The sequence below is a fragment of the Homo sapiens genome, chromosome 7 (assembly GCF_000001405.40).
Source record: "Homo sapiens chromosome 7, GRCh38.p14 Primary Assembly".
NCBI classification, from domain to species: Eukaryota; Metazoa; Chordata; class Mammalia; order Primates; family Hominidae; genus Homo; species Homo sapiens.
Window position 1 is genome coordinate 37,830,675 of NC_000007.14, and position 13,065 is coordinate 37,843,739.

At 34.9% G+C, this 13,065-nt stretch overlaps 1 annotated feature.

Annotated features, from left to right (window-relative positions):
- Positions 1,815–1,914: an enhancer, noted in NCBI's record as "active region_25863". NCBI's record gives its function as "activates an Ori minimal core promoter by ATAC-STARR-seq in GM12878 lymphoblastoid cells {active_cell/tissue: GM12878}" and the evidence as "EXISTENCE:reporter gene assay evidence [ECO:0000049][PMID:35858748]".

Here is a 13,065-nt window from a genome sequence, read left to right on the forward strand (position 1 = left end):
AATGCATCCTGGATTAATTTCTTAATTCACATCTACCAGAGATGTGAGTACCCAATGCTTAAAGAACTATGGTTCCATGACTAACAAGAAGTGATTCACTGAGCCCAACAAGCAATCTAATCTAATTGCCTCTAAGTGTTGTTTAGTAGGGGTAACTTTGGCTATTTTAATGAAATGTGAATTTTTAGAAATTATAGACAACAAAACAAATGTGTGTTCAGCAATTCCTGCCTACAGGAGTTCACACTCACTTAAGGAAGGCAAGGCACGTGCAGTTGAAACAACTAGCGAAAAAACAATTCTAAATAAACTAGCGTTGTATACCGATATAATTAAGTGCTAAAGTGTGCAGTTCAATCAGATAATATAAGATTTGGAAAAGAAAGGTGATAAAGTATGCCCCCAGACAAAATGGACTCCCTGTGGCTAACTGAGGAGCTCAAAGTTAAAACAGAACTAGGTGTCCATAGCTGGGTGACAGAATGGTCACATGTTCTGCGCTCTCAGAAAGATGTTGTAAAAGTATCAAAGGACCTCCCATTCTACAATCAAGCTGAACCAGCTCCTGTTCTGTTGTTGGGCTACAAGATAAACTGCTGCAAAAAGCACAGCACCTGCCCACACCTCCCAGTGCCGCAAGCCCCAGGCCCCATTGGCCATTTGAAAGAAACATCTGACAGGGACTGCTGGTTTGGGGCTTGGGAAGCAACCAGAGATCACCTCCCCTAGCCAATTAAGGCTCAGCTGTTTGGGCCAATCAGAACTCAGCTCTGTCAGCCAGTCAAAACCAAACAAGACTCAACCCTTTGTTTGCATAAATAGACCTGGTTGGGAACCTGGGTGGGGACTTTTCCTATAAAACCCCAGGCATGCCATCCCTTCATTCTCTGGAATGGACCTTCATTTTACACAGCGGCCTGCATGTCTGCCTGATTTGCAAACAGTTCTCTGGAATAAAATCTCTTTCCTCCAGATTCTTTTTCAGAGAGCTTTTGTTCACAAAGGGGATAAAAAGATTAAGCTAAGATGAAAATCAGAAAAAAAAAAATAGAATCACTGCAATAATAAGGCTCATTATTTCCAAGATTTTTATGTATCCTGGTCTGAGTATGTCCGTCCTTAAAGCATATGAACTGAAAAGAATAGGAATTGGATTTATGGGTTTTGATCCATTTAAAATATCAGTATTACAAAGTTTTCTAGTGAAGTTAAACGAATGCCCGCAAGTAATTTTTTTACAGAAACCCAGTTGAGAAGGGCTGCAAGAATTAAGAGTATTTTGAAAATATACCAGAGTAAGCAAAAATTGCAACATATGATGGTTAAAAAAAAAAGCTCAGTAGTATATCATATTAAAGATTTATATATTAAATATAACAGAATTTAGAAATTATTTATGTGTATGGGACACTGTTTTTATCATTTTTTCACGTAGAGTTGTCACCATCATTCATTGTGAAGAACAGTATATTTAATATTCATAGGAACATAGTATAAACATTCTTCTATGTAATATTAAATTCACAACAAATGGAGTATTTCTTGGGTTACATGGGAAAAAAAATAGCAGAATCTTGCTGAGCCTCCCCAGACAGATTCTATCACCAGGACAGCTCTTTAAGTTCCCAGATGCGGGTGCCTCCCTTCCTTGGCAGAATGCCTGGTGGACTTGGCAGCTGCCTTCTCAGCCCTTATCACAGCTGAGGCTTCCTGGGGAGTCACGCTTCTCCTCTTCCACCCACTGTGGGCGTGGGGTGCCACCCCACGGCTTCTCCTGGTAGCTCTGATGCTGCCACTGCAGTGACCCTGGCACCATCTGGTCCCTGGATGTACTTGCTGACACTGCCATCATCATCACCTGCACCTCTGCCCCAAGACAAGGTTGAGGATATTTTTCCCAGACCAGTTTCCCCAGTTGGGGATGTTTGTCCTAGGCCTAGATGCCATTCTAGAATCAGGAACTTAATCAAATCATAGATCTTCACTTGAAGAAAGCATAATGTCGATGGCCATGAACCAGCAATTTTTCTTCCTTTCTCTCATCTCCCTACTCCTTTTTAGGGCTATTCTGCCCAGCCTCATTTCCCCGTTCTGGATGGCAGATCCATCTTCTAGAAATAACTTTCAAGATGGAACTATAATCCAGGTCTTTGGTTGTAATCGAGGTCTTCTGGGAGTTCCGTTTTGGGATCCAGACTTATATCAAATCCTACATTTGCTTCTGGGGAAAGTTAAAATTTTGATATACAAGAGAATTAAAAAAATACTGTGCCATCAGAGATTAAAATGCTAATGGAAAGTAATTCAGGAGAGAAGAAAAATTGATTATGCTAATAAAAATAATATCAATTTGGTTGAAAATGCAAAATACAGTTTAGGTCCTCAGGGGCCATGGTAGAGAGTGTGGTAGGATTAATGAGAGAAGGAGTGGGGTAGTCCCTGCTTTGTGCGGGGTCTAGTCTTGAGGGGTTATTCTTGCTGTTCATGGTTGATGTGTGACGACACCTCCATACTTGTGTTGGAATCCTAGGGATTTCTGGGCATCGGCTCCCACTTCTAAAGACAGGGACTCTCCTGTGTCGGAGCTTTTGGGGTTCTGCTGAGAAAGGGGGAGGCTGAGTAGCACGAACTATCATGATTGATTAGTAACGTCTGCTACAAAAGTGGGAGGGTGGGGGACGGCTCATATGGCAAATATTTATCACCTTACCCCATAACATGCTTTCTGGCTGTATTGTCAGGCTGCTAGGAAATGCTTTCCACTCGGAACTGAGACCTAAAACTGGAAACTAGGCTGCAGGACCACCTGGGTACGTGTGAATTACAGAGGTTCATGCATTTCCAAATGGGGGTGTCATTTTAGAACTGGGGCGTAAGATGATGAGCAACAGAAAAGACAACGCCGAGCCCCCGGGTATGAGCTCAGAACTCTTTACATGTTTGATGCTCCAAATGGTCTAGGGCAGGGGGGCTTCAGAGCCTTGGCAGCAGAACGTGGTCGCGTAGATGTTTATCTGATTTTCTGTTGCGCTGCTGCTCAACCGCCACTACGGAAGTGCACACTGCCACCTTATGGACGTCTTGAGAAGTTACACTTACACGTTATTAATTATATTAAATAAAATTCAAATGTAATAAATAATGTCAGGGGTAGTTTTTATAAACATTTGCAATGAAAATTCATATGAGGACTTCAGACAGAATATATTCAAATGAAGAGTTGATTTCGATTTCACTGATGAAATTAAATAACAGGATTAAGATGAAATTCTCAGCTATTTTAGCATTTTAGTGTTTTTCTGCTACTGAGTTGTGGGAATTCCTTATATGTTTCGGCTTGTCATAAATATGGTTGACAAATATTTTATCTGATTTTATACGTTTTTTCACTCTATTGATTATTTCCTTGGTTGTACAGAAACTTTTTAATTTTATGTAGTCCCACTTGTCTATTTTTTACTTTTGTTGACTGTGCTTTTGGTGTTGTATTCAAGAAATCACTGCCAAGATCATTATCATGAAGCTTTCTCCCTATGATTTCTTCTAGAAGTTTTATAGTTGGGGTATTACATTTATTTATTTATTTAAAGACAAGATATTGTTCTGTCACTCAGCTGCAGTGCAGTGGCACAATCAAAGCTCACTGCAGCCCCAACCTCCTGGGCTCAAGTGATCCTCCCATCTCAGCCTCCCAAGTAACTGCAGGTAACTACAAGTGTGCACTACCACACCAGGCTATTTTTTGTGGAGACAGGGTTTCTCTGTGTTTCCTGGGCTGATTTCGAACTCTTGAACTCAAGTGATCCTTCCACCTTGCCCTCCTAAAGTGCTGGGATTACAGGTGTGAGCCTCCAACCCTGGCCAGGTCTTACATGTAAGTCATTAATCTATTTTGAGTTGAATGTTGTGTGTGGTGTAATATACACATGTGAATATCCAGTTTTCCTAACATTTGTTGAAGAAACTACTGTGTATTCTTAGCATCTTTGTCAAAGATCAATTAATCATATGTGTGTGTGTTTATTTCTGCACTCTCCATTCTATTCCATTGATTTATGTGTTTATCTTTAAGCCAATACAATACAGTTTTAATTGCAGTAGCTTTGTAATATATTTTGAAATCAGGAACTATGATGCCTCCAGCTTTCTTTTTTTTTCTAGAGATTGTTTTGGTTCTTCTGGATCTTTTATAGTTTAATATGAATCTTAGGATTGTTTTTACTATGTCCGTAAAAAATGCCATTGGGATTTTGATAGAAATTGCATTTAAACTGCAGATCACTTTGAAGAATATGATTATTTCAACAATATTAAGTCTTCCAATCCATGAACATGGGATTTTGTGAATATTCTTGTATGGTTTTAGCCTAATTAGAATGTTTCTAATGTTTTGATTTTACATACAATGTTAGCTGTAAGTTTCAGACGGAATTATTTCTCAACTCTTAGTTTGTTCAGAGCTTTCTAAAATTATTATTAATGAAAGTTAATCATTTTTGGCATAGACTTGGTTTTTAACTTTGATTAAGTCCAGTTATTACTTTTAAAATTTTATGATGACTCTTTGTGTTCTAAGAAATATTTGATTACCATCCCAAGATTGTAAAAATATTCTATACTTTTGGAAAAGCTTTATAGTTGTAAACTTTTATGTGTAAGTCTGTGATCCATCTGAACTACATTGCATATTTTATGAAGGTGAAGGTTCATTATTTTCCATATGGAGTTTAAATTTTTCCAGCATCATTTATTTGAAAGAATTTCCTTTCCCTGTTGAACTACCTTGATGTCTTTGGAGAAAATAAATTGACAGTATGTGTGGGACTCTTTCTGAACTCTGTATTTTTTTCATTGATCTATACATGGCATTACCACACCATTTTAATTGCTGTAGTTTAATAGTAAAGTGCACGTTTTCTACCTTTTTTCTTTCTGACTCTTCTGGGTACTTGACATTTCCAAATCAATTTTAGAATCAGATTGTCAAGTGCAACAAAAAATGGTTGGGATTTTTATTATGATTGCATTGAATCTATAGAATAATTTCGATTAAAAGTGACATCTTGGGCCGGGTGCAGTGGCTCGCACCTGTAATCCCAGCACTTCGGGAGGCCAAGGTGGGCAGATCACAAGGTCAAGAGTTCAAGACCAGCCTGGCCAACATAGTGAAACCCCACCACTGCTAAAAATACAAAAAAAAAAAAAAAAATAGCCGGGCATGGTGGCAGGTGCCTGTAGTCCCAGCTACATGGAAGGCTGAGGCAGGAGATTCGTTTGAACCTGGGAGGTGGAGGTTGCAGTGAGCCAAGATCGCATTGCACCACTGCACTGCAGCCTGGGTGACACAGCGAGACTCTGTCTCAAATAAACCAAAAAAAGTGACATCTTAACAATTAGTCTTCTAATTAATGAATATGATACACTTTTTTGGTTTCTTTAATTTTTTTCAGCAATACTTTGTTGTTTTCAGCAATAAGATATATTTCTCTTTTTAAATTTATGACATATTTTTATCTTCTTTGATGGTATTGTAAATTTTAAAGTTAATTTTATTTTCCAAACCTTCGATGCTAGTTTATGGTATACAATCAATTTTTTATATTTACCTTGTATTTTGCAACTTTGCTTAATCATCTATTAGTTCTAGTAGGTTGATTTTTCCCCAAGATTCCTTAGGATACAAAATCGTGCCTTTGCCTGTATGTATATATTTTTTTCAATCTTTATACCTATTATTTATATTCCCCTTGTATTGCACTAGCTAGCACTTCAATATAACATTTAGTAGAATTGGGGGAAGCAGACATTCTTGACTTGTTAAAGGTATTATGGGAAAGTTTTTAATAATTGACCATTACATATAATGTTAGCCAGAGGTGTTTTATAGATACACTATATCAAATTGGAGCAGTTTGCTAAGAGATTCTGTGTGTGTGTTTATCACGAATGAATATAAAGCTTATCACATTATTTTCTTCATTTATTTATATCATGATATAGTTTTTCTCTTGTATTATGCTAATATGGTGAATAAATGCTTCATTTTCAAGCTTGCATTGATAGATAAACCTCATTTGGTCATGACACGTGATCTTTTTCATGTATTATTAGAATCAGTCTGTTAATATGTTACATATATTTACATCTATGTTCATGAGGTATATTGGTCGATAAGGGTTATGCTGGCCTGGAAGCAGACACATGTCAGGATATATTCCTCTTTCTCTATTTTGTAAAATAGTTCATATAGTATTAAATTATTTTTCTTATTTGGGCATAAAATTTCCTTTATACAAATATTTTAATTATATACTCAGTTTAAGTAACAGATACATGGTAATTCAGTTTCTTGTTACCCTTTGCTAAATTGTATTTTTCAAGTAATTTTTATTTAATCTAAGTTTTAAAAGCTTATGGCATAAAGTTGTTGTAATATTCCATCATTGTGTAACTTCATTGCTATGAGGTCTTTAGTGATATGCCCTCTTTCATTTACAATACTGAAAATTTGTATATAGCCTATTTTTCTTATGTAGTCTAGCTTTGGGTTTGTCTTTTTCTATCTTTATTAAAAAAACCTTGTATGTTTGTCAGCTTCCATTTTTTTGTTTTCTATTTAATTAATTTTCTAACTTTTGTTAGTTTCTTCTCTCAATTCACTTTGAAAAATAAGTCATTTATTTCAGCTCATAAGTTGTAACTTACATCCTTATTCTGAACATGTTGTATTCTCTAATATAAGCATTTATAGTTTCCCACTAAGAACTGCATTAGCAACATCCAACAAACTTTGATATGGTATGTTTTAATTATCATTCAATTTAAAATATTTTCTAGGCTGGGCTTGGTGGCTCATCCCTGTAATTCCAGCACTTTAGGAGGCTGAGGGGGTGGATCGTTTTGAGCTCAGGAGTTTGAGACCAGCCTGGGCACCATGGCAAAATCGTGTCTCTACAAAAAAATACAAAATTAGCTGGGTGTTAGTGGCTCACGCCTGTAATTCCAGCTACATGGGAAGCTAAGGCACAAGAATAGCTTGAACCTGGGAGGCAGAGGTTGCAGTGAGCAGAGAGAACACCACTGCACTCCAGCCTAGGCAACAGAATGGGATCCTGTCTCAAAAATAAATAAATAAATAAATACATAAATAAAATATGTTCTAATTTCCCTTTTGATTTCTTGTTTAACTCATGGATTATTTGGTAGTATATTGTTAACTTTCAGGTATTTCAGACTTTACCATTATTGTATTGTTCTTAATTTCTAACTTATTTCTATTGTGATCAGAGACAATATAGTGAAATATGTAAATATTTGAAGTTTATTGTGATTTTATTATCTGGCTTATGATTCATTAAATATTCAATGTGCATTTCAAAAGAAAGTATATTCTGCAGTTATTCAGTAAGTGTCAATTTAGTCCAGATGATTGACAGGGTTGTTCAGATCTTCCGTAATCTTACTGATTTTATATATTTATATCAATTATTGAGATGTAATGAGTTATCTGTTTTTCATTTAATTCAGGAAATTTTTGTTTCATATATTTTGAATCTCTGTTCTTAAATATACACACATTTAAAATACTTATGTCTCCCTAATAAACCCTTTTATCATCAGGAAATATTTGTCTGTGAAAATATTCCTTGTACTGAAATCTACTTTGTCTGACATTAACATGGTCATGTCGGCATTCTTACTTTTTACATTATATTTTTTCCATTTTTGACTTTCAACTCATATATATCTTTAATTGAAAAAGCATGTCCTTTTGCCAGATGCTATATATCATGGGTATTCTAATTTTGCATTTTGAGTATAGAAATGTATGTCAATTGCCTACTAGAATAATAAAATAGAAATGTTTAAAATAACACAACAGAACTCAAAATTGTTACAAGGCTGGCTTTATTATCTACAATGTCCAGTTTTATTACTAAAATTTACCAGATATGTAAAAAGATGGAAAAGTATGACCTATACTCAAAAAAGGGCAATCAATAGAAATTGACTGAATGGGCCCAAATGTTATAATTAGTAGACACAGATTTCAAAGCAGTTGTTAAAAATATGTTGAATAAATTCAAAAAAGTTCAATAATTAAATAAAATATAATGTTAATTAATAGACTAGACAGAAAATCCCAACAGACAAATGCAAACTATGCAAAATGTAAATTCTAAAGGTGGAAAGTACAATAACTGAAATAAAAAAGATTCACTAGATGAGCTCAACAAATAATAAATGACAAAAAATGTATAAACTTGAAAATAAATCAACATATGTTATCTGCACCCAAAGAATGAATTAAGAGAATAAAACTAAACAGAGTTACAGAGACCTGTGGGGCAACATCACACTCTCACATATGTGTAATTGGAATACGAGATTGAGAATAGAGAAAGAAGGCAAGAAAATGTTAGAAGGAATATGATCAAAAACTTGAAATTCGATGGAAAATATTAACGTAGGAGTCTGAGAAACTCACAAAACACACGCAGAATAAATGCAAAGAAAACCACCACTAAGCATATCATAGTCATTTTGTTGAAAGCCAAATTAAGGAGAAAATCTTGATAGGCAGAGAATAATGACATATTGCATACTGCAGAACAATGATAATGTTAAATACTGATGTCTCATCAGAAACTATGGAAGCCATCATACTTTAGAAAGATACATTCAAAGCACTGAAGAGAGGGAATAAAAAACATGTCAAGCAAGAACTCTGTATCCATAAAACATTTTTAAAAATGAAGGAAAAATTAATACATTTTCAGATAAACAGAACTGAGAGCGTTTGTCACTAGAAGACTTACATTACAAGTAATCCTATAGTGTTCTGCAGACTGAAGAGCGATGAAACGAGATGGCAATTCTGATGCCTAGAAGAAATGAAGACAACCAAAAATGATGGTAAGTATGTGAGTTAGTAAGTTAAGAACTCTTCTCTCTCTCTCTCTCTCTCCCTCCCCTCACCACATATGTGTGTATCTGTATTTTCTAAAAAACATGACATTTTAACAAAAATTATAGCACTTTATTGATGAGTTTACAAGATATATAAATATAATGCCTAAAATGATAATAACATTAAGGATGGGGGAGAGATGACTAGAAATATACTGTTGCAAGTTTTCTATATTTCACCTAAAAAAAAATCAATACTAATTCCAAGTAGGTAAGGCTAAGTTATAGGTGTATATTTTACGCTCTAAAGCAATAAGTTAAAAATAATTTCAAAACATATAGTTAGAAAACTAAAAAAGGCATTAAAGTGGAATGCTTAAAAATGTTCAATTAAAATAAGGCATCTAAGGAACAAATGACAAAAACAAATAAGACAAATAGAAAAATGGGACACCTCAGTACAACCATATCAGTAATTACATTAAATGTATATGGACTAGATACTCCAATAAAAAGGCAGCAATCAAGATTTTTCAAACTGTGTAAAAAAGTAAGAACCATCAATATGCCATCCACAAAATAATGCACTTTAAATATAAAAACACAAATAAATTGAAAATAAAAGGATGGAAAACAGTAAACATAATAAAGTGGAGTAGCCATACTAATATCAGCCAACATGAAATTCAAGACAAAGATACTAGAGACGGAGGGACATTTTGTAATGATAAAGAGACAGTTCAAAAGAAGACATAACAACTGCAAACATATGAGCCTAATAAATGAACTTCAAAATATATACAGGAAACTGACAGAACTAAAGGAAGTCATGCACAATTCCCACAGTCATAATTGGAGACTCTATCAGACTTTCTTTTTGCCATGTAGATTTTCCAAATGTTAATATTCTTTTTATTTATCAGGTTTTATAAAGGAATAAAACATTACAAATACAGCTGACGTCCCGCCTTTCTATCACATTCTCCTCCCTCTTTCTTTGGGCATTGGTAAGCTAATAATAATTCAGGATGTAAATCTCTGGAGTGTGTGTTCTTGGAGTGCAGCACTATATCTTATTAATCTTGAATTTTTAGCTAATAGCAGTGCCTGACTCTAGAAGAGACAAATGAATTTTCAAACAATTAAATAATAAATGAATGAAAGGGATTGTTTTTATAATAATAATAATTTTTATCTTTGCCATATGTAATAGGGGCTCTGTAAATGTTTGATGAGTTTGGGAATTAATAAAATAGCTTTGATTTCTTACTGAGAATAATTGCCCCTAGGTGTTTTTTTTTTTATACTTTAAGTTCTAGGGTACATGTGCACAACGTGCAGGTTTGTTACATAGTTATACATGTGCCAAGTTGGTTTGCTGCACCCATTAACTCGTCATTTACATTAGGTATTTCTCCTAATGCTATCCCTCCCACACTCTCCCACCCCAGGACAGGCCCTAGTGTTTGATGTTCCCCACCTTGTGTCCAAGTGTTCTCATTGTTCAATTCCCACCTGTGAGTGAGAACATGCGATAGTTCTTGAGACAGTTTGCTCAGAATGATGGTTTCCAGCTTCTTCCATGTCCCTGCAAAGGACATGAACTCATCCTTTTTTATGGATGCATAGTATTCCATGGTGTATATGTGCCACATTTGCTTAATCCAGTCTATCATTGATGGACATTTGGTTTGGTTCCAAGTCTTTGCTATTGTGAATAGTGCTGCAATAAACATATGAGTGCATGTCTCTTTATAGTAGCATGATTTACAATCCTTTGGGTATATACCCAGTAATGGGATCGCTGGGTCAAATGGTATTTCTAGTTCTAGAACCTTGAGGAATCGCCACACTAGTTCAATGGTTGAACTAGTTTACGCTCCCACCAACAGTGTAAAAGCGTACCTATTTCTCCACATCCTCTCCAGCATCTGTTGTTTCCTGACTTTTTAATGATCGTCATTCTAACTGGTGTGAGATGGTATCTCATTGTGGTCTATCAGACTTTTTAAGTAATTGTTAGAACAACTACACCAAAAAAAAGGTCCTTAAGAATCTGAATGACAAAGTCAGTGGCTTTAACTCAAATGACATTTGTAGAACACTGCCTCCAACTACTCCATAATACACATTGTTTTTTTGTTTTTTTTTTTTTTTGAGGTGGAGTTTCGCTCTGTCACCAAGCTGGAGTGCAGTGGCACAATCTCAGCTCACTGCACCCTCTACCTCCCGGATTCAAGCAATTCTCCTGCCTCAGCCTCCCAAGTAGCTGGGATTACAGGCACGCACCACCATGCCCAGCTAATTTTTGTATTTTTAGTAGAGACGGGGTTTCACCATGTTGGCCAGGATGGTCTGGATCTCTTGACCTCATGATCCGCGCACCTTGGCCTCCCAAAGCGTTGGGATTACAGGCGTGCGCCACAGCACCCAGCCTATTTTCAAATGCATATGTAAGGCTTAACAGGCTAGACTATAAGCTGGGCCATTAAACAAATCTTAGCAGATTTCAAAAGCCTGGAATCTTACAGAATATGTTCTCTGACCACAACAGAATTAAGGAAATCAGCAATGATAAAACACCTAGAAAAGTCCTATCTGGAAATCAGACAACTAATATGTAAATAACCAACCCATAAGTAAAAGAAAAAAAAAAGTAAATTAGAAAATATTTATAAATGAATGGTGATTTTAAAAACACAACATGTCGAAATTTATAGGATGCAATTAATAAGTCAGTTCTTCAAACTTTATACCTTAAACATTTTATGTTAGTGAAGAACCCTTTAATTTTGAAGATTATGTTAACTAATTTTTATTACTTTGTTCATAAGCCTCATGTTGCTTTTGTTGTTGTTGCTGTTATTAGCGTTTTCATTGAAATATATATCTTCACTCATATAAATATCTGTCATATGCCTAATAACAAGGTGCCAGGTTTTCTTGGTTTTACTCACCTACACATAGTTGGTGATTGAATGCACTTTGAAAACTAGATCTAGTGAAATGGCAGACATCTGGTGCTGCTCTTCTTGTCAGAAGTCAGATCGTCTCCTCTTCTCTAATATTCTGAACGCATATACCATACTCATCCTACATTTCCATTCCTTCTTTTCCTATCGCTGTCCCCGTGTAAGCCATCATTTAAAATTATTATCCAGCAGAGTCGTGGAACCACCTTATGCTAGTTAATGAGAACAAATTGTTAGGTTTCAGGAATTATGTGAGATGATCATTAATCACAACCATTACAAAAAATATATAAAGTAACAAATTATTTATATTTAAAATATAAGTAATAAATTTCTCAAACTTATTACTTCCTTATCACTTTATCACATTTTACTATTTTCTGTGCTCTTAAAATTACTTATATATATTGTATCTTTAGGTAAAAACACCAACCATATAATGAAGTGTTAGTGCATATCTTTTGTGTCCCATGGCATCATGCTGGTAACTTGAAAGTGAACATGGTGGGGATATTTACACCATGGAAATCTGCAAATGCTACAAATTAGCACTTTATTGATTTGTTGATCATTAATGCAGATTAAAAGTTAAAGTGTGTTGCATCTGTAGTTGTTACATTCTAAAAAGCACCCAATATTTGAGAAATAATCTTCCAGTATTTGCAAACTATTACCATATTCAGCAAGAAGTCGTTTATGTCATTGATGAATCGGTGAAATTCTAACTTATATCTTCATTGTTTCACTTTGTCCAACTCATTAATGTATATTGAAATGTTGACCAACATTCTTACTGGACCTACACACATTCATTGATGACATGAATAATTTCTTTGCTGAATCATATAGTAAACAAGCATTTATTCATCTTCTGAACAAATTGCAACTGTGAATTAGCTATGGAAACATGAGTTTGGCAAAAATTAAACAAAAACACTTTTGTAAAAATCAATTGACTATATGGGATTTGCAGTAAAGAGTACTGTATATTTTATAATATATATTAAAAATGTGAAACATCATTTTAACAGTTAAATTCGTAATACTTTGTTGTATACATTTTTTTCCAAGAGAACTGGTTATTAACATTTACCAGCATACCACCGATTATGACTCTCAGGATGTCACAAGTTAATTTTTCCATTTTCTCACCCTTGCTTTTCTTATTTAGAAAGAACTGTGA